Genomic DNA, 21,709 nt, shown 5'->3' on the forward strand with positions numbered 1-21,709 from the left:
TGGGCATTGCCAGCGTAAAGTCCCAAGAAGATTGGTAGAGGACATTCATTCAAACCTAAACAGCTGCTGCCTGCCCCCCAGTTACCTCCTATCATACTACCATGCATCCTAAACTTTACCTCGGTGTCTCCCTAGCCGTATGCCCTCCAGCAAATTACTTTACCTCTCTGTATCTACAAGTTGGGGCTAATTAAAGTACCTGTCTCCTAAGATATATTAAATGAGCTTATATTTGCAAATTGCTTAGAATAGTGAGCATATATTAAGAGATGAAATGTCTTCCTATGTGGCAGAAGTACTGGTGGTACTGGTGGTGATGCCATTGTTAGGTCCTTGTATTCAGCAGATCAAGAGCTGCCTGACTCTAGAATGAGCAGTTTAGCATAATGGTAGGCAGGATAGTTTTCTGGATACAGGAGGCCTGAAGATTCTCAATGGGACTTGAAGGATTAGGAGGCAATTTGAGCCCAGGAGTCTGTGCCTATAGTACGAGGCAGCTGGCCTTTGCATGAAGCTCTAGAACATCTTTTCAACCTCTGCCCTCCCCTTGGCTGCAGCTGCCATGTGCACCCGCCACACATCAACAGTGTTGGCTTCTGTTATTGCAGCTCTCCTGGTTTGTCTTGAGAAACATTCACATTTTTCGATTGTCTGAAATTTTGCTTTGACTTAATTTTGGAGCTTATTTTTAAATCTGATCAAAACACAATTTCAGTAGTATACACTGTTTTGTTGCCTGGGAGGAGAAGTGAAGGGCTTTTATTCAGGGTTAGTATTTAATATTTTGTTTGATTTTGTTTTTAAAGAAATTTACATTAGGCTTGTACCAGCAAGCATAAAGATGTGCTTAGGTCTTATCTACATGTAGTTTGTCCACAGACACAAACACTGAAGTTTTCAGTAGGCAATTTAAATCTTGCTATTACATCCTTTTCTGTCATGAAGATTAGTGTGACTTTCTGTACACAGCTCTGAATAAATGAATGTATCAGCATGTAGCCTTGAGGAGTCCAATGTAATTTTCATCATGATAAATTGCATAATAAGCAAGAAAATGTTTGCTTATTAATCTATAACAAGATTTAGATGGAAAATGGCCTGTTACATCCGTGACACACTCGGCAGAGGGTGCAGAGCCTGAGATGGTGGGAAGTGGAGCAGCAATGTGTGCAGAGGGTTAAGTGTGGATCTTACCCTTGTGCTGCCCTGTTGGGCTGCCCCTTTTTGTGCCTGATTTACTGTGTACACAGTAACGGTGCTCAGCCGCCTTGCTTCTGTCTGTGATGTTAAGCTTGCTTTATGAAGAAGCTTTTATGTTAGGCCTGTGCTTTTTAAAATTTCAGTTCACGTTTATTGAAAAAGAAAAAAAAACATAAGCAGTGTTTCCTACTTTCTTCTTATTCTTGTGAGTTTATGAGGGCAGGGGTTTTGCGGAGGGGCAACCAATCAGGTCCCCTGCCTTGTCTAGAGAACACATATCATGGCAGAGTTCCCTTTTGCCTCTCCCCCATGTCCCGACATCTCCTGCTGAGCTGACTCCTAAGAGGTCTCCTAAAACACTGTATATGCCTCGAGATGAAGAGGGTATTTTCTGGCTGGGCTTGGTGGCTCATGCTTGTAATCCCAGCACTTTGGGAGGTTGAGGTGAGAGGATCGCTTGAGCCCAGGAATTTGAGACCAGCCTGAGCAAAACAGGAAGACCCCCCCATCTCTAAAAAATAAATAAATAAAAAATTAACAGGGCATGTGGCATACACCTGTGGTCCCAGCTACTCAGGAGGCTGAAGGGGAAGGATTGCTTGAGCCAAGAAGTTCAAGGTTGCAGTGAGCCATGATCGAACCACTGCACTCCAGCATGGGCAACAGTGAGACCCGACTCTTAAAAAAAAATAGAGTATTTTTCCAGAATTGGTTACCCCTTTATTTTAGAAACATGATATGCAACTTTACATCTTTGAAATCAAAATATCTACAGTTGTTTTCTAATGTTTTCAGATATTTTGCCAAATTTTAACTATTAATTAATCAAGCATATTGTATAATTAATATGTGAAAAGAACAACATTAGGTTTTCTCTGTAGTTGCAAATTTGAATCAAAAATCATGTCTTCAAGACAGTTGCAGTCTTACAGGAAAGACAAGATCTGCCCCAAAATAACCATGATGCAAAGTGGGAAGGAAGGTAAAAAGTATAGACATTCAGGGCATAGTGAAATGAATCACCCTGGGTAACCAGAGGGGATGCAAGGAGGGGTTTCATTTGGATCTGTCATTTGAGTAGTTATGAAGAGAGCGGGGGAAGGACAGGGGCATGCGAAAGAAAGGGGTAGGAAAGCGCAGGCATGCCAAACATCTGTGAAAGGAGGAAAATGCTATTTTTAGCTAATTTTATTTGTTAATTTCTTGTAGAACTTAAACTGGGATTCTCCCATGTAAAACTGAAACACAGTGGCTGGACGTGGTGGCTCATACCTGTAATCCTAGCACTTTGGGAGGCCGAGGTGGGAGGATTGCTTGAGCTCAGGAGTTTGAAAACAGCCTGGGTAACATAGCGAGACCCCGTCTCTACAAACAAAAATAATAATTACCTGGGCATGGTGCCGTGTACCTGTAGTCCCAGCTACCAGGGAGGCTGAGGAGGAAGGATCGCTTGAGTCTGGGAGGCCAAGGCTGCACTAAGTGGTGATTGGACCACTACTCTACAGCCTGGGTGACAGAACAAGACCTTGACTCTAAATAAATAAATAAATCTCAAACATAATTTCCTTCCCAATTATCTCAGGGGAATAGATTAGGGTCAGATAAAGAATTGGTGTGTCTTGACTTTATGAAAAGATTGTTGCAGTGAGTTTTTTCTTTGTTTTAGCACCTATCACATAGCTAGCCTTGTGCAGGGATATAGTGGCCTGGGATGCAGTCCTTCTATTGAATGCTTACTACCTATGAGCTTCTGTGCTATTCAGATCTCCAATGTCCTCAACTTGTTTTAGAGAAATTCAAGAAATAGGCATTATCATCCCCACTTTGCAGATGAGAAAAAAATGAATCTGATAGAGAGATGCTGCCTCTTGTCCAGAGTAACATTGTAGTTACTGAAAAAAATAAGATTCAAACCCTACTCTAGCTTATTCCAAAAGCCAGAGCTCCTAATACTGTGTGATCTTGCATTCCAAATCTTAACATCCACAGAATTAAAACAATTCGTTAAAGTACATAATCAGAATTTTCAGTGTACTTTAGATTTTTAAATATGTTTAATAAAATTATTTTCAGCTGGACATGATGGTTCACACCTGTAATCCCAGCACTCTGGGAGGCTGAGGCAGGATCACTTGAGCCCAGGAGTTTGAGACCAGCCTGGGCAACATAGTGAGAACCTGTCTCTACAAAATTTAAGAAATTAAAAAAACTACAGGAGCATGTAGTTCCAGCTACTTAGGAGGCTGAGGCAGGAGGATCACTTGAGCACAGGAGGTCAAGGCTGCAGTGAGCTATGATCGTACCACTGTACTCCAGCCTGGGCAACAGAGCAAGACCCTGTCTCAAAAAAAAAAATATTTTCATCAAAGATTTTGTACCTTCTAGATTGTAAAAGCCTTATTTACATATCAGTAAACTCTTGAGTGCTTGTGTCATATATTATGTGTTTATTCTTATTTACTCATAACATTTGCCAAGTGATTTGCACACAATAAATGTTGAATAAAGTCATGGGATTTAAAGATTTTCCTTTTAGAGATGAAAATCTTTTCAACATCATCTGATCCAGTATCCGTAATGTGCTATTAAGTAAAAATAAGGTTTAGACAGATTAAACAACTTGGCTGAGGTCACAGTGGTACTCTAAGAGCCAAGACTGTCACTCAGGTTTCCTGACTCCCATCTTGCAGCTCCTGTACCATACGGCTATGCCACCCTTAATAAGGTGAGTGATTCACTGGTAAAATCTTATGTGAGGAAATTTTTAAATAATGGGGATGGACTGTTCATTCATGATGAACTGTTTAAGAGAAAACTGAGACTGCACTTCATTGGAATCATAGACTGAGCCATCCCCAGCTAATTGTGAGAAAAGTAGAAACATATAGTATTAACCTTTTTATGCATTCATAATTTTGTTAGATCAGCATGGTCATGTACATATTGATTGATAACATGATAGAAACAGCAGAAAATCCCACTATACTAAGGAGCAGAAAAATTCTGCTGCTCTTGGAAGCCTAGACTTCCATCTCTCTAAGTTGTGGTCTGTGATTTTGATCCATTTGCCTCGTTCATGTGGCAGGGCCTTTACTCTGAAAGAGAACAGTGGAGCAGTGCCGGCCCAGCTGCTGAAGGGGCCGGGCGAGCATCACATACTGCCACAGCTGAGGGACATTAGTGAATTACAGACTGCCCACTGCTTTTCTGGGATCATCACAATTTACCAAACATTCAGAGAGAAGCATAAAGTCACTGGAAACCACACATGCTTTGATGACACACAGATAAGCACCATACATTAGAAAGATTCCTTTTGAACTACATAGAATGCGAGAAAAACATTTTTTGTATGCTAGCTCAAATCTCAGCCATTCTTGAATTTTGGGGGTGAGGAGTGGAGACAGAAACACATCATGCAAACACTAAGATGCTTTAGGATTCCATATTTAAGCTATTCATATTTTTCCTGTTTCTGTGAAATTTATTCTTAACAGAAAATTTATAATCTGAGGAAGCCATATAAATAAATCCTATTAGCATAGTTTTTATTCACTGTAATTGTATTTAGCATACAGGAAATAGATCTTAAAGATACACATTTAAGGGAGGAATTGCCACCTTTGGGTTTAGGAACTCAATGCCACCTGCAAGTTGTGAAATAAAGGTACGACATGACAGAGGAATTGAAGATATCTTGTGAAATTGAGGACAAATATTAACATACCTGTTTAGCCAGGAAGGAATAAAATGGGAATACCAGGGGCTATACATTAAGTATGTGTTTTTAAAGTCATTTTAGAAGTCTTTGTTTTTGATGTGGCCTATTTTCATTACCCTGTTCCTATTGACCAAAATTTTCAGGCTATTCAATGAAAGTTTATATGTCTCCTCCACCGGCCCCCCTGGAATATTCTCTTACATTATTCCTTAATTTGACAGCTGATAAAGTCTGACAATTTTAGATCATGACATTTAACCAAAGTGTTCTTACATGTAACTTTTGAAATGCTTTCACCACGATGGAGTGAGCTTTAGAACAGGATTAATGAGCAGTTCTGTGAAGGGGGAGCTCAGGCTGCGTGGACTATTTTTCCATTCATATTTTTATTTAAAATACCTGTCATCTCTGATATTTCATATTGGGTGTGTACACTGAAATGCTGAGTAAAGCAGAGAGTCTGTCATGTCCTCTTTTTTTTTTAGAATAAAGAGAACCGAAAGACCCATCCTGTAAACCTGTGTAACGGGTGATCCGCATAACAGCCAGATAGGTGGGATCAGATGACACAAATGCGTTCCATATTTACACTGCAGTTTCCAGAATAAGGTTGACACTCCTTTAATTTCAAACCTCTGATAGTATGGTCCTTCTTCATTCAGATAGAATCTCACATTAAAATATATCACACAGACAATGCACTCTTGACTTTAAAGATAACCAAATGCAGAATTAGACTTCATCTGTTGGGACTACCAGATCAATTGCTTTGACTTCATTGCCTGGTCAATTCAGTCCAATAGCTAGCTTAAATGATTTTTTTTTCTGCCTGCTGAATTTGCCAGCTACTTCACTTACTGTGTAACTGTGGAGCTACCACCATGTCCAGGGGCTGTACCGGGCACTTTGGGGAGTTACACAGAATTGTCAGGCATGTTTCAAATCTGTGCAGAGTTCATAATATAAAACTAATTAGTAAGGCCTGGCAAAATGTGATTTAGTATTAAGGGCCTGGAATAAATGGGGTTTGCTGTTGATTATTTTTGTTTCACTAGAAGTCAATGAGTGCTATCGTAGTTAAGAGAATACCATGTGGGAAGACAAGAATTGAACAGAGAGGAGGGAGGAGACTGCACCAATGGGGAAAGGGCTAGAGGAGAAACCTTAGCAAAATACTAGAATAAAATAAAGGAACAGACCTTTAGGGACCAGCTTGGAAATTAGCCTGACTTCAGGAGCATTGGTGTTGAAAAGAGTGAGTTGAAAATTAGGGAACTAGATTATGGAGGGCCTAGAATCTTAAGCCAAGGTGTTTAGAGTTTTTCCTAGAGGTGGTAGAGAAGGCTACTTTTAAGTAGGGCAACCAGGAAATAAAGTTGGTGCTTTGGGAAGATGACTATGATGACGGTGAATTGAGTAGACTAGAGGAGGGACACAAGGTTTCTCCCTATGCCTTGACCATCTCTCTACCCTCACACACACAGCCCCCAACTTTTGCACTGTGGATGCCATACCCTCCAGGTCACTGCAGAGCCCTGACCTCAGAGCTGTAGAATTATCCACATTCTGCAGTCCTGTGCTCAGACTGCCAGACACCAATGGAGAGAATCCCTCAGGTGCGCACACTGATGCCTCTTCAAAAGTGCTGGCTTTTCCAGCTTCCACTGAACTCAGTGGGCAATAGGTTCACATGTCTTTGATTCACTTCCTTCCCCCTTACCCTATAGCTTCTCTTCTAGACCCACCACCCAGCACCAAAGCACCAACCTTTATCATTTTTATGACTATAGGAAGTTTGCTGATTCCCCCAAATTCACAAGGCCATTTGTTGACATGGGGGAAGGATGACGTGTGGCTAGGCCTCTTGGCTTGAAGCAGCAACCTGCTGGTAGTTTATCTCATTTTCCCTTCACTTTGCTTTTTTTTATGAGAAGCGTCTTTGGTCAGAAGAAGCATTTATTGTACATATAATAGAGGAGCCGGCAGGGCTAGTTGTTTTTGTATTTGTTACCTCATTTAGTCTTCTTGTCAGTGCTGTGAAGTAGATATTTTAATATACCCATTTTACAGATGATGTACTTATTCAGTCCAGGGTGGCCACAGGACACAGCATAAGGGTAAGGGGAAACTATCCACTTGTCACTGTGGCATGAACCCTGAAGATCTGTCAACTGACCACTCCCACACTCAAGTGCACACATGATTGTATCTCTTCATTCTGGGTGTGTGTGTGTGTGTGTGTGTGTGTGTGTGTCTATCTGTCTGTCTCCCTCTCTTAGCTTCTCACTAAACATTTCCATGAAAAGAACCGGAGAAGGGATGGAAGCGAGAACTTAGAGGTAATGGTGAGTTTGCTATGATCCTGCTTATGTTGGTTTCCAATGGCAAGGGGTCCCAGCAGCACACAGCTGGGGACAGACTGGACTTCTCTGGATTCTAGGAGGACACTGTAACTCTTGTCCTGCAGAAGCCAGACCCTTTCTCTTAGCACCTAGGGAGAAGTATATCCACGGGGAGGGCAGACAGGTGCCCAGAGCCATGAACTACAGCAGGAGTAACACCTTCCCTATTATTGTATTTCTCATGACACAGCCCAGCTCTTTGGGCAGCAGAATCACTACCACACATATTTATGTTTCAGATGCAATCCTCAGTAGTTCACGAGCCTGGTTCAGCAGTGTGTTGCCAATCCCACACCTGTGAAGTTGGTCATTTTTGTGCCCACACATAAGACTTCTTATTTAGCTGAGTTTGATCTTTCTGATAACTCTGTAGATGTTAGTTCTGTTTTGTAATATGGCTGCTCTCCCTTACAATTTTTATAACCACACCAACTGATAACTGTGCCTCCTGTATCTTCATTCAAACCATTATTAATATTGAATAAAACAGCTGAAAGCTAAGTATTATAACATATCACTAAAATCTTCTCTCAAAGATGCAATCTAACCATTCATCCAAAGCCACTGAGTTTAGTCACATTACTGATTCAGTAATCCAAGTAACCACAGTATGGTCACTCCTCTCCCCCGTGTATTGTCTCCAAAGGTTAGCTGTCCTGAAAGACATCCACAACTACCCAGCCTGTCACTTAAGTTCTCAGACCCGCCTTCTCACTTGTAAATACCTGTATCAACCACTTCATAGGGATATTCTGGAGCAGATGCAAAGGGCATGAAATAACACAGGAAAGCCTGGCTTTCAACCTAGACCTTGGGCTCTGCACCCAGTTCTTCCTCTGTAGCGTGCCTTCCAGATCTAGGAGGGGCTGCCCAGGAGATGGACATTCCTTTTCCCTGGCTGACTGCTTGTCAGAGATGTTGCCTGGGAAATCTTTGCCAACTCCAGCATTCTGTGATTTTATTGATTTTCCCAAACTTGATTTCATTTTGTGTAGAATTATTCAATTAATGTAACATTTTGATTGTTTACAGCCTTGCAGTATCATCAATCCCTATTCATCCACATTGATGGATGAAAAGAAGCATCACAGGGTATCTACATGTAGTTTAATTGGCTTTTGTATTGTTTAAAACTTGACTTAAAATTTGGGTTTATAATCTGAATTTTACAATAAGTATTAAGCAGTCTAGCCCCAGCACTACTCACACAGTAAACATTTCTTTCACTGAATTTGCAGTTAGCCAAGTTTAATCCAGAAAAGAAACTGGCCAACTGCCCATCTTGCTTTCTCGCAAAACACCTCTTTCCAGCTCCTACTGGGACCCAAGAGCATCGGGCTCTTCCATGGCAGGGAGGTGGGGAGATGCCCACCGATGCCTTCTGCTTGTGCATTGTTCAATATGTGTGTGTTCTCTCAGCTCACATCTTTCTTTTTAGTGTTAAACATCCAAGGAAAACTCTCCATAGTTCTGTCTTCTGAGCCCCTGCTTCGTCTCTACCCTCCGTATGGGAAAAAGAAGAGAGACAGTTATACTATCAGTCAGAGATTTAAGCAGTGTAACAGTCACAAAGACTTATAAGCAGAATTTCCTTTAACAATGAAGAGAATGCCTACATAATTTTTATTTTCAGCTACAAGTTAAAATAATGGTTCTTAGATCAATTATAGAGATACCTGTAAACTTTTTGAGAATTTTCAGTAAACACAATCCAGTTTACATATAAAGCACATATACTCATTTAATTGGAGTAGGATAAGTGTTCATATGTCTTCAAATACATATTTAAATTTAAAAATATTTAACTCGGGAAACTATAATTGTATTCCATACTGAGTAACAAAATACTCCTTGTATACAGTTAATGGGCAGATCACGTGCCACATTTTAGTAAAAGTCTTGATACTGTTCCCAGTGGATTATATATAATATAAAGGAAGCTTGGAAACAAGAATATTGATATTTTCATGTAGTAGAGGTGGGGAGTGAATATAGCATCACTCTCCTATCATGACCCTGGCATTCTCGGAGTTTGGGAAGATTTATTTCATTGTGTGCCTCGTCTTACAAATAGCCTGGACAACATCATGCTATCCCTTCTTTATATAAACAGAATTAGTATCAGTTAATAGAATTTTTGGCATTAGTACTAAATAACTGTTGGTGGAGCATGCTGTTTAGTAGATTGGTTCTAAAAGTACTAAACTGGGGTAAACCAGTGGTACTAAGGATATTTCAAATGAAAAATAATATACAAACAAAAAATAATTTTGTCATTCTCAGTACTTGTGACAATTTTATAGACAGGAGTGAATCTTGCCTTCCTTTCAGATATACAACCTTACAGTCTTTTAATATGGCTTTATAAATAAATACTTAACTATTTTTAGGAAAAATTTGAAAATATTCAGCACAATATTCGTTCTTACCTCATTCTGAGCTTTGTGATATGTATTCAGTACTAGTTCTTGATAATTTGTTAACAAGGCGTTTTTAACACTTTGGACAGATGCACATACTGTTTTCAATCTTCACGGTTAATTATTCCATTTTGTATTTGATGCCAGAACACCCTGACTCCTAATCACTGCCCATTGTTGCAAGTCCATTATATTCTAACTGTTTGAGTGCTCCCATTGACCTTGAACTGACATTATAAGCTGTGTCTAATCTTTTCAGTCCATATTTCTAATGCTTCTTTTCTTTTTTTCCCTTTTTCTGATCCCTGTTTAGCATCACAATGGGGTTGCCTCTGAGCCCAGCAGCTGACTCGGCCCGCTCTGCGAGGCATGCCCTCTCGCTCATTGCCACCGCCAGACCACCCGCCTTCATCACCACCATAGCCAAAGAGGTGAGCGGAACTTCTCAGTGTGCTCCATCTTCTCATTTAGAGGAATTATTTGATACTATAAGCTGAGGGTTCATATCCACAAATCCCCTTTACAGTTTATTCTAGAACAATGCAAGTTAATAATTTAGTACTGAAATGAACACATGTGTCTGTGTGCATGTACACTGAATTCCACGGTGTGGTGCATTCATTACTTCTGCTTCTGTATTCATTTCTGTTCTCAAAGTTAATTCACTTATAAATATTTGACAATCATTTTTCAATCTGAATTACAGCAGGCATATGAAAACTCAAATACATTAAAGGTGTTCACACTTTTCACATGTAAGTACCTACTTGTCATCAAAACTAAACTTCTTATTTAGTACTGGCTCTCTAACTGTAAACGAAAAATGTAAGTCATAAACTTGCTAATTGTTTTTCCTATTACTTGTCACAGATAAAGACTTGAATGCCAGTTGATTCCCACATTCTTAGTGTTCAAACTAATTGCCCACATCTAACTGGAAAACTAGTAAAGAACAATGAGCCAATTATAGGAACTTTCCTATAGGTCTTAGTAGGAGGAAGAAAAGGAAAGGATGATCAGCTCTTAAATTTTTTTTAAAGGTTTATTCCATTTCAGCATGAATAATGGGCAGACTCAGTGTCCATGGGGTATGGGCTCTGTCTGAGTTGTTTTTCCTGTAGCTATGATGAATTTTTAAAGTAATAAATTACCTCTGAGTCTATTCAGATAAACTGAAACCTACTGGGCCTATGTCTGCCCCAGAGCTATCCCTAATAGGCATGCTGTAAATATTTGTGCCATGCATTTCGCTGGGAGGGGAGGAAAGAAAGTCCTAATAGCATTTTGTATAGGCTTATGTGAGGCACTGAGGCTTTGAATTCATATCTAAAATAAATTTGTAGACTTAAGGGTGTGCATTTTTCTAATAGTGCATAATGTTATAGTAAGGTTCCACTAGATTTAAAATGCACATATGTATGTATTTATTTTGTAGGTATTATATAGTTTTATATAATGTGTGCATATATATATATGAGCATAAATGGCCAATTTTATTAGTCTTGGAAGGTTTTTTTTGCCAGTTTTTCCCATCAGTGGAATATGCACAGGTCATAATATTGAATATAGTGAATAAGCCTCACATTAGTCTGACAGGTCCTTGTATTAATTGTGTTTTCAAACTTCATTTGCACCATTTACATATGAGTATTTTTTTAAAAATGAACTGTTAGAATACCCATGCTTTGAATTCATTCTACTCCAGCTTTTGGCTGGAAAGATAATTTTAAAGTAACAGTCCACATTTATTACCTTTAAAAAGAAGTTTTCAGCCTGGTACTGTGGCATGTGCCTGTAGTCCTAGCTGTTTGGGAGGCTGAGGCAGGAGGATGGCTTAAGCCTAGGAGTTTGAGTCTAGCCTGGGCAACATAGTGAAGTGAAACCCTATCTGTAAATATTATATAATAAAAAATAAATAAATAAAAATAAATGAAACAACACACACAAGTTTTCCACTTCATTGTTCAATCTTAGAGTATTAGAGTAAAATACTAAAGTATTTCTTATTATTATCTCTGACCTCTACCCCGTTTCTATGCCTACTACCTTATGGCTCTTCCCGGGCTAGTCCAGGGCCTGTTAATATTCTTTCTCCTCTGAACTATAAAGCTTACGATTGTATAGGGAAAATCACACTGAATGTATATTATTTGCCATGCTCATTATTTTTGGAGGCATGTTCATATGGATTTTCCAACTTAATTGTAAAGCACTTAGAGAATAATTTCTGGGACACAGTGAGTGTGGTTAAAGTCTTATTTGCAGTTGATCCTCAAACAGTAAGGGAGTTAGGGGCACTGATCCCCCTAGCAGTCAAAAACCCACAAATAATATTTGACTGCTCCAAAACTTAACTACTCTTAGCCCACTGTTGACCAAAAGTCTTACTGATAACATAAACAATTAACACATATTTTGTATGTTATATATATTATATACTGTAGTCTTACTATAAAGTAAACTAGAGAAAAGAAAATGTGAAGAAACTCATAAGGAAGTGAAAATCTATGTCCTATTCATTAAGTGAAAGTGGATCATCATAAAGGTCTTCATCCTTGTCATCTCCACATTGAGTAGACTGAGGGGGAGGAAGTGGAGGGGATTAGTCTTGCTAATCAGAGGCTCAGAGGCAGAAGAAAATCTGAGTATAAGTCGGGTCATGCATTTCAAACCCATGTTGTTCATGGGTCAGCTGCACTATCATTACTTGAGAGCAAGGATCGTATCTTTTACTTCCTGGGCATCTGCCAACTTCTGTCTACTTCAGTTCCAAATGTACCAAATTCACAAGTCCTCAATATGTTTCTTTTTAAACATGTCATGATAGTGTTGTATTAACGTCTCATATAATGTTCAGGAACTTACAGAATTCTATTAGGCAATACCTATTGAGTTTTTATTATACTAAGTATTGTTTTTGTAAACAAAAGTATTTTCTGACTCACCCACAAGAAGTTTATTTTTTTCTATAGTATTAGAAAGTAAAAAATAAACCATGGCTAGAAATGTAAAACTATATCAGTGTCAATCATATCTACAGCATAGAAATGTTTTGTAGGTACACAGACATACGGCTCTTGCAGCAAATACCCAATCACAGCAGAATATGCACACAACAACTCTTGCACGAGCTAAAGGGGAAATTTTGAGAGTCATTGAAATTCTTATTGAAAAGATGCCCACAGATGTTGTGGATCTTCTCGTGGAGGTAAGAATATCCTGTTTTAAATGATCCATCAGCAACCTAAATTAAATATTCTAATGAAGTAATATAAATCAGTATCTTTATTTCCAGCATCTCTAAAAGAGATGAAGGGTGAGAGAGAAAGAATGAGTGTGTGTGTGTGTGTGTGTGTGTGTGTGTGTGTAAGAGAGAGATAACTAAAATTAACTTTTGTGCCATTTCTGGAAGACTTATTTAAATTTCCTCAAAAATCAAAACGATTTTCAAGTTCATTCACCATTCACATGGAATTGGTCTGTAATATGTAAAGGTCTGTAATATGTAAAGGTTATGTTCCCTTTGACATCTTTCATTATAAATAAAATATATAATGTGTTGAATAATGTATTATGTACATAAATATGAATTGACTTTAAACTAAACAAGTCTGTTGTCTTTATTTTATTGCACTGTCCTTTAAATTTCTTTTCACAGATAAGAGAAAGGATAGACTGTAGTATACACATGGCTTAAATTGCTTTTGTTTTTATTTTAAATACTAAAATAAAGCTATATAGACTTTCTATGGGCAAATGAGGCCTAAATTAATCATTTACATTTTGGAAAATTAAGTATTTGAAATTAATTTTAAATCTGTTCTTTTCTGTCAAAGGTTATGGACATCATTATGTACTGCCTTGAAGGATCTTTAGTTAAAAAGAAAGGTCTTCAAGAATGTTTCCCAGCCATCTGCAGGTAAAGAAGCCTTCAAGAGCATGCAGAATAAATAATTTTCAGTAACAAATAATTTTAAAAATTTTTGGCATGGTGTTAGTAGTCTTGGTCAATTAGAAATCCAGTTATTTATTAATGTCTGCTTACTTTCTAAAACAATATGGGCAGGTTACAGTTAAAAACAAAAATATAGTAGAGTTAGCTATTTGAAATTGGGTGATGAAGATATTTTGCTCAAACCTTAGAAAAAATGAGTAAGAGAGAACATTCATTGAATATGTCTGTATTCTTATATTCATTACTCTAATTATTATTTACATTATACAATTGAGTTAGGAAGCTTCTGGCTTTGGAAAGAAAATGTTCTTTTCTGCCAGCAGACATCTTTGTGCCACGCTTTCACTGATAAAGTTTATTTTTAATACCAAGGCCAGTCTTTGCATTACGTTCTCTTAAGTATAGGTGTTTTCCTTATGAGAAAGCAGGAAAAGAAGCCAAGAAAAGTTAAAACTTTCATAAACAATGTTGCATTTGCTAAGTATAACTATAAATTATATATATACATAATTTAATAATTATATAGCATATAATTATTATAGCATGAAGGGGTATTTTTAGAGCCAAAGTGTAGTAACGTTATGTTTATTTTTCTTTCAAAGCTGTTTTAAGCTTGGTTCTCAAAATGCTTATAGATTGAGGTACATCTTGTTAAAAAAGGTTTAATCTCCATGCGGTCGTTAGAAATAGTATTTAAATCTGTTGAAGATAATTGTTTTTGTAGAAAACAGAACAACCAGTTATTCATAGTTATATAACATTTTTCTTTTTAAGACAAGTTCAATGATATTCTATTTTTGCTCATTTTTATGAATACATTGTAGTAGAAAGCTTCATTTTAGACTACAGCTTTCCTGAGAGCAATGGCATTACCTGCTATGCAAATGTATTTCAGCACGTGATTGTACTCTATGAGCCTTCGCATATCTTTTTCTGTATTTACAATAGACCTTGTATCCTATCTCTTTATTTTGCAGTTTCTGATTCATGCATCCCAAAATTTAAAAACATAAACACAAATTTTAAAAAAATTATACTGTAGCATACCTGTTTACAGATGCATATTTTCTTGTGATGGGGTTTGGCAAATTAGAATACAGCCGTGTTTTAACATTATGCCGTGTGTTTGGTTTATGGTCTTCTTCTTAAGAATTGTATATATTAAATCTTATGCACAATTAATTGATTTTAAGAATACAGGTAGTTGTTATTTTTCCAGTTGACTATTTTCAATGGGAATGTCTAAGCGAAAATGTACTTTTGCCTGTCACTTCCTGGAGGTGATGAGGAAGCAGTTTTATTAGGGCTTATTTTACTGAATTTTAACAGTGCTCCTTATAGCACCAGCCACTGGCATGTAAAGAAGCTTCCTGGAGTTAACATGAAAGTGCTCAATGTTTAAAGGATCTGTTTTTCCCCTCTGCTGGAAGCCTACCTCCTCCACAAGCCATATACTCAATCCCTAAAACCACCTTAGTCTGCTGCATATGCACTTTTGTTTCCTATTATGTGGTCAGTGAAGAGTCAGGGTTCTGCTAGAATGCTAAGGAGGCGTGTGTCTTAACTGAAGGCTCAGTATAAATTTTTTCTGATTTGGCGGAAAGGAGTTCTATTTTGTTTATCAATTTAATAACATTTATTGAACACCTACTGTGTATCAAGTACTAGCCAGGCCCTGGGGAAACAATGATGAATAAGATGATATCCTCACGGGGCACAGGAGAGGTAATTATACAGACAGATGATTCCAGCTTCTTCCTATGCTGGAGTAGAATTACATACCAGGGACTGAGGTAGGCAATAAATGGAGTGCTTAATTCTGGGTATGGGAGTCTGAAAAAGTTTCACAAAGGAGAAGGCATAATAATAATAATAATAATAACCTGTGAAAAATGCCTTAATAAAAGTGTCTGCCAAATGGAAAGAGGGATTTTCCCTCTGAGGGAGTTGTGGTGATGGAAAAGTGGTGGTGGATTCTGGAAGCTTCACAGAAGAGTTGATGGGGTGGGCTTTGCAGGATAATTAGGGGTGTGTCATCTTGAATTGCAGAGGGAACCAGGCTGGCAAATGTTTGGCAGCACAGCAGTGTACAGCAAGTTTGGTAAATGCTGTGTAGTAGAGTGGCTAGAACATAGGTTGAGGATAGGAGTCTAGTATAGTGCCCGAGTATAGAGGGCTTTGAATTTCATAGGAAAGAGTTTGACTATTACAGCAGGTCCTTGAATAATGTCATTTCATTCAACATCATTTCATCATAATGTTGAAGAGAAAAAAATAATTCTCAGCTGGGGTCACTGTCTATGTGGCCTTTACACTTTCTCCTCAGGTCCATGTGGGTTTTCTCTGGGTACTCTGGTTTCCTCCCACATCCCAAAGATGTGCCCATTAGGTGAACTAGCATTTCTAAATGGTCCCCATCTGAGCGAGAGTGTCTGGCGTGTGCACACGCACTCTGCCATGGAATGGCATCCTATCCAGGGCTGGTTCTGCCTAGTGCCCTGAGTCGCTGGGAGAGACTCCAGCCATCCATGATCCTGAACTAGAATAAGTGGGTAAATAATGATCTTACCTGTTTTTGTCACTGGTAGGTGGAGTTCTTTCCCTGCTTTGTTATCAGTCGCAAAGCAGGAAAAAGTCAAGCAGGGTTTACTCCTGGCCAGGCCTGGAGAAGGAAAGAACTCTTGGTCTAAAGACGCCCTCTCCCCGACAAATAGAAGGCATGGTGCGTTTAAGGACCGGGTATGGGGAGGGAGAGGGATGTTAGCATGCACAGGGTGGGACCCCAGATGCACAGGCTCAGTGCATAAACATACATCTTCATGCAACCCATGACACAAAATGGCGAGGTGTTCTTTTGGGGGAGGGAATTTTAGCATTATAATGATAATATTAAGGATCTAAAGGCAACTAGGGGTCACTTGTTCCAGTTTGTGCCAGTTGGGGATCTTATCTCCCTCTGGTATCTGGTCAGGAATGGAGAAGCTCTGGTGCTACTGGGCTGTCTGGTTTCTTTATGCAGCTGTGCCTACAAATAAAGGGCATAAATAAAGAAAAACAGTAAGAAAAAGAACTTTTCCAATTATTTCATCAGGGTGGTCCTGGTAACATTTTTATTAATCTTTCTTAAATGTATGTAGATCTCAACTTTATTTCAGTGTTTAACATTGGAAGTGTTTTGGGTCTTTCTGAGTTTGGTGATGTTTTTGTGACCAGAAATGTGCCATAGAAACATAACTATTTATTTATATCAATTAGCCTGTGGTACAACTGGTTTCATTATAGGTCAGTTTTCAAGAACATATTAAATCCTCACGTTAAGTAAGGACTTACTGTATTTGATAGGCAATAGAAAGTCAGAAAAAGTTAAGCAAAAATGTGTAATTCTTCTACCAGAACATAGTTGATAACACAAAATTTTATGAAACATCAGATTTATAACAAAGTTATTAAGTTATGTAGATATTATTAAGATTATGAAAATAAAGTCCACATAGGCCCATTTATTTGTGAGTCAGCACATAAACATAGAAGAATGATTAACAATATAAGCTTGTAGCTTATGCTAAATGTGAGCTGCAATAGATGATAAATTATAGAGGACTTCAGAGAACACTAAGCTTGCATGGGATCTCAGAAGTTTCACAGGTCAATGCCACTCCATCTGTTGGCTGATTTTTACTAGGTTAATATATGAACAACAACAAAGGTAACATATCAGTAGGAGTTAAAATTATTTTATTGAATATCTGCCATGTCTGTACCGTTGGATTCTACTAGGTGCCTTACAGCACTTTTGAGTCTTCTATGTACAAAATGCCTTTCATGAAATAGGAAACTCCAAAGTCAATGGCATGAATATCTGTGGTTCAGATATGTGATGTTTGTTTTTAAAATCTTTATATAGTTTTGTATTCTTTTTTTTTTTGTTTCCTTCCTTTTACCTTTTTTAAAATGTGCTCTGGGTTTTATCTTAGACTAACCTCTTTAATGTTGCCTTATGTCAGCATTCGGTTGCTGTGGTTGACAGATCACAAAATGGTGTGAAACTTCATTAGTGTTCTTCATAAATGAAATATTTATGGATGCATCTAGAAAAGTGCTTATGATTTGGGTATTCACACAATATTATTTTTCCATGGATCTCTCTAAGAATAATGTGAAAATCCAAAATGTATACAAAATATTAGCTAATATGTATTTCAAAGTAATATATAAGTAAAAAACTACCAGATGACATTATTGCTTTCATATCTGTAAAAAAGTAATAAATAATTTTTAGTCAGCATTGTAAACATGATCTTCACATCTAAAGCTGTATTAATTTAATTAAGAGCTAACTAATATAGTATCCTGAAGTCATTGAGTATTTAAAAACAGAATGTATTCTGACTTGTGGTAAACATAAAATTATTCTCTGTGAGTCCAAAGATAAAATAGCATTATATATAGAATGCTGAATAATCCTGAGTTTGGGTTTTTTGGTTTTATTTTGTTATTTAGTTTTTTTCACCTTCACCAGTGGGCTTGTAGGGTTTTTTTGTATGTTTTGTGGGTTTTTTTTTTTTTTTTTTTTTTTTTGAGATGGAGTCTCACTCCCTTGCCAGGCTGGAGTGCAGTGGCGCAATCTCGGCTCACTGCAACCTCTGCCTCCCAGGTTCAAGCAGTTCTCCTGCCTCAGCCTCCCAAGTAGCTGGGACTTCAGGTGTGAGCCACCACGCCCAGCTCATTTTTGTATTCTTTTTTCAGTTGAGATGGGGTTTCACCATGTTGGCCAGGATGGTGTTGATCTCTTGACCTCATGATCTGCCTGGCTCGTCCTCCCAAAGTGCTGGGATTATAGGCGTGAGCCACTGCGCCCAGCCAGTCTTGTAGTTCTCATGTGCACCTGGGTTTTCATTTTTAGGTTCAGGATTTTAAAACTTTAACGTGGTAATTTCTCTAAGATTTTCTTTATTTTGATAGTTATTTATCAGGTTGCAAATTAAAATTTCCATTTTATTAAAGTCCCGTTTATTAATGATTTCATAATGACTTAATATATAATTTAATGAGTGGTACATTCAGTCACCAAATTACAATGTTAACTGAATTTCTTTGTTCTGTGATAACTTTCTTCAAAACATATTTAAAATTTGAGCTATAAACTGTGAATCCATTGAAAGCATCTATACAAAAAATTTAGTTTTAAAAATTTTGTTCATATAATAGCTTTTCTATCAGCTGTTAAAACTTCCGATGTCATCTGTTTGAAAACAGAAATGGTTTAGAGCGCATACCAGTAAAATTTGATAGACATTCTTTCTATATCACTGACTGAATCTCGCTTGTTGATATTAAAACATGGGATTATAGCAATGCATAATTAATAATATATTTTTCATTTATATCGCACTTTGCAGATTAAATGTTTTCAAACCTATTAATTCACAAGCAAATTAAAGAAGACACTATGTAAATGTAAACATTTTTGGAGAATTAGATAGTGATATTTATAGTGATATTTATTAGTTCAGTGACTAATAAAGTTCTAACTCCAAGATAAAACCCAAACCTTCTTATTCATCATTGATTATTTTTTATATCTAGCTTTTAACCTGTATGTATTTATCCATCTGTGTATGCATGTACACATACATACACACATACTTAAAACATCCACTTACCCTGTTCCGTAAAGGAGTTTAAGCAGCTTTGAAAGTGATCATCAAATGTAAAAATAGTGAGGAAATTGAGGCAAAGGAAGAATAGGAGTAGGAAAGCAAGACAAGGCCAACATGAGAATAGAAGTCCTCTGTATTTGCCAGAGGTGAGCCATACATTTGTGTCTAAACTTTTTAGGGGCCAACGTGCAAAGAAGAGTTGACTTTTCTGAACAGTCACACTGTTCAACTCTTCTATTATGCAATTCGTGTCCAACTCTATAAAAATCTATCCTATGAACAGTGTGACTGCCCTAGAATAGTCTGTAGCTGTCTGTAGGACTGAGGTCAGCATGAAATTGCAGGTTCTCATAGAGAAGACATAAAATATGTGTGTAGTTTATAAACCAGGTAGTTTTAGAGATTCCGTGACTGTCAAGAACATGCTAGGAAGGAGCTCACACAACTGAATATTAAATAAGGTACATTCAGTGCCTAGTAGCTGAGAGAACTGAGGACACAGATAGGAAGGTGAAATTTAGAAACATGCAGAGTACTTGCTCCCTGTCAGGCACTGGGGAGAAGAATGATCTCAGAGTACTGTTCCCAGACTACCTTCAAGAGAATGACCTGATTTCTAGGATCCACATGACAGCCACTACAGCTGACTTTCCTGAAGCCTGGCAATTTCATAGCCTCCCCCGGTGATTCTTATGAACACTAAACTTTGAAAACCAAGTACTCTAGTAATCCAAAATCAAGAAAAACAAAACCTGAGTCATTGTTCTCTGTGGCCATGTTGTGTTATGTAAAACCTTAAGTCCTTGGATGTTTATTCATTTATATATTGAATAAACTCAGAATTTCTAAGGAAATGCCTGAAGATATTCCTTCATCCCATGCATTCCAGAGATACACCATGAGCTTTTAAAGACTTGATCTTAGTGCCACAGAATGCCTGCTGATGACTTTAAGTGCAAACTTTCATTAATCAGGTTTTATCTAAAACTCAGCTGAGAAACACAGAGCACTAAGAAGCTAGTTTAGAATACATGTGGTCCATTTATTCCTCAGAGTATTCTAGTTTACATCCCTAGATTGGGTGAAACCATCCAAGAGCTGCATGTTTGGCCTAGGCTGTCTGTTCTCCTCCGGGGTTTCCTTGCCCATGTTCCTCTTCAGCATTAGGCCTGCCATTTGCATGGAGCCACCTTTCAAGGGAGTGCATAAGAACATGGTGGCCCCGTTATCGCAGGGCTGTCATGTTGATGTCACTCAGTACATTGTTTAGTGTCCCTTCTACGAAGACTCAATCGAGACATTTCTTTTAAATCTAGATGACAGCCCGTTTTTGTTTTCCTAAGGAACCTAGAATGTGGGTTTTGTTTGTTTGTGTTTGTTTGTTTGTTTTTCTCGTATAACCGGTGTTAATTTTAAAATTTGCCTTGGGCATTAAGCAGTTCAAAGCCAAAGTCCCTGCTTATGTCTAGGAAGTTATGGCTTTTGTCTCCTGTATTCCTTCCCTCATAATCATACCTTCAGCTTTGTCTTTTTTGTCTTTTTACTGTATTCTAGAAGCTTCCCTAAGTCCTTTATGTTATGTATGTGTGTGTATGTATTATGTATGTGTATATGTACCTAAGTACATATATGTGTGTGTGTATATGAAATACACGGTTTTATTTCAAAAGCCATGAAAGTAAAAATCATTGTGAGAATATTATCAGCTATGATTATTTTCTACAATAAAAAAGACATTTTTTGTATTAACTGAAATACTTTAGCTCTTCCTGGAGTTGTTTACGTAGCTATAGATATTTTTCTGTAATAAATCCAGTAAAAGTTGTAAAAATCACACACTATTAACTAGCTGTATTAATGTTATAGTCATAGCTTTAAATATTTCCTAATAATTCACATTTCACTTTCTGGGATATTAATAATATAGTGTCATCTACTAATAATACAAGAAAATTACTTAGATTTCAGTGCCCTTGAAAAAATGTAGCACACACATCCTTCAAAACACAGTTATACAAAATAGTTCTCCTGTCAGATGTTTTATCACTGTAACAAATATGGCTGTATTATTTTATAGGAATCAAACTGCATCCATTTTAAATCACAAACGTATTAGCCACAAGACTGCTGCAGCACTGAATTAGTTTTATGTTTATAAATGAGCAGAATAGGAAGCACAATAAGGTAACATTTAAGAAATGAATCTCTGTTGGTTCTTTCCCAGCTGGGCCTTGGCTTTGCCTTCATACGTCTCCTCGGTGATCTTCAAAAAGGCATCATCTAGCACTCTAGATAATTATTGTTAGAGGGTTCTGAGTAATTTACATTTAATTGCCTGGACTATAAATAAT

At 37.6% G+C, this 21,709-nt stretch overlaps 1 protein-coding gene across 11 annotated transcripts in view; it reads left to right on the plus strand.

Moving 5' to 3' along the window:
- Positions 1-21,709, plus strand: part of WDR7 (WD repeat domain 7) — a 385,248-nt gene that overhangs the window by 274,373 nt on the left and 89,166 nt on the right. For all 11 annotated transcript variants that reach the window (XR_007066131.1, XR_007066132.1, XR_007066133.1 and 8 more), the window contains 3 exons: positions 10,057-10,174; positions 12,802-12,951; positions 13,580-13,662. Coding sequence is in view for 7 of the 11 variants with exons in the window: in NM_015285.3 (NP_056100.2) it covers positions 10,057-10,174; positions 12,802-12,951; positions 13,580-13,662 (351 nt within the window). In the remaining 4 variants the exon portion in view is untranslated. The remainder of the gene's footprint in view (positions 1-10,056; positions 10,175-12,801; positions 12,952-13,579; positions 13,663-21,709) is intronic.

Source organism: Homo sapiens, chromosome 18, assembly GCF_000001405.40.
Source record: "Homo sapiens chromosome 18, GRCh38.p14 Primary Assembly".
NCBI lineage: Eukaryota > Metazoa > Chordata > Mammalia > Primates > Hominidae > Homo > Homo sapiens.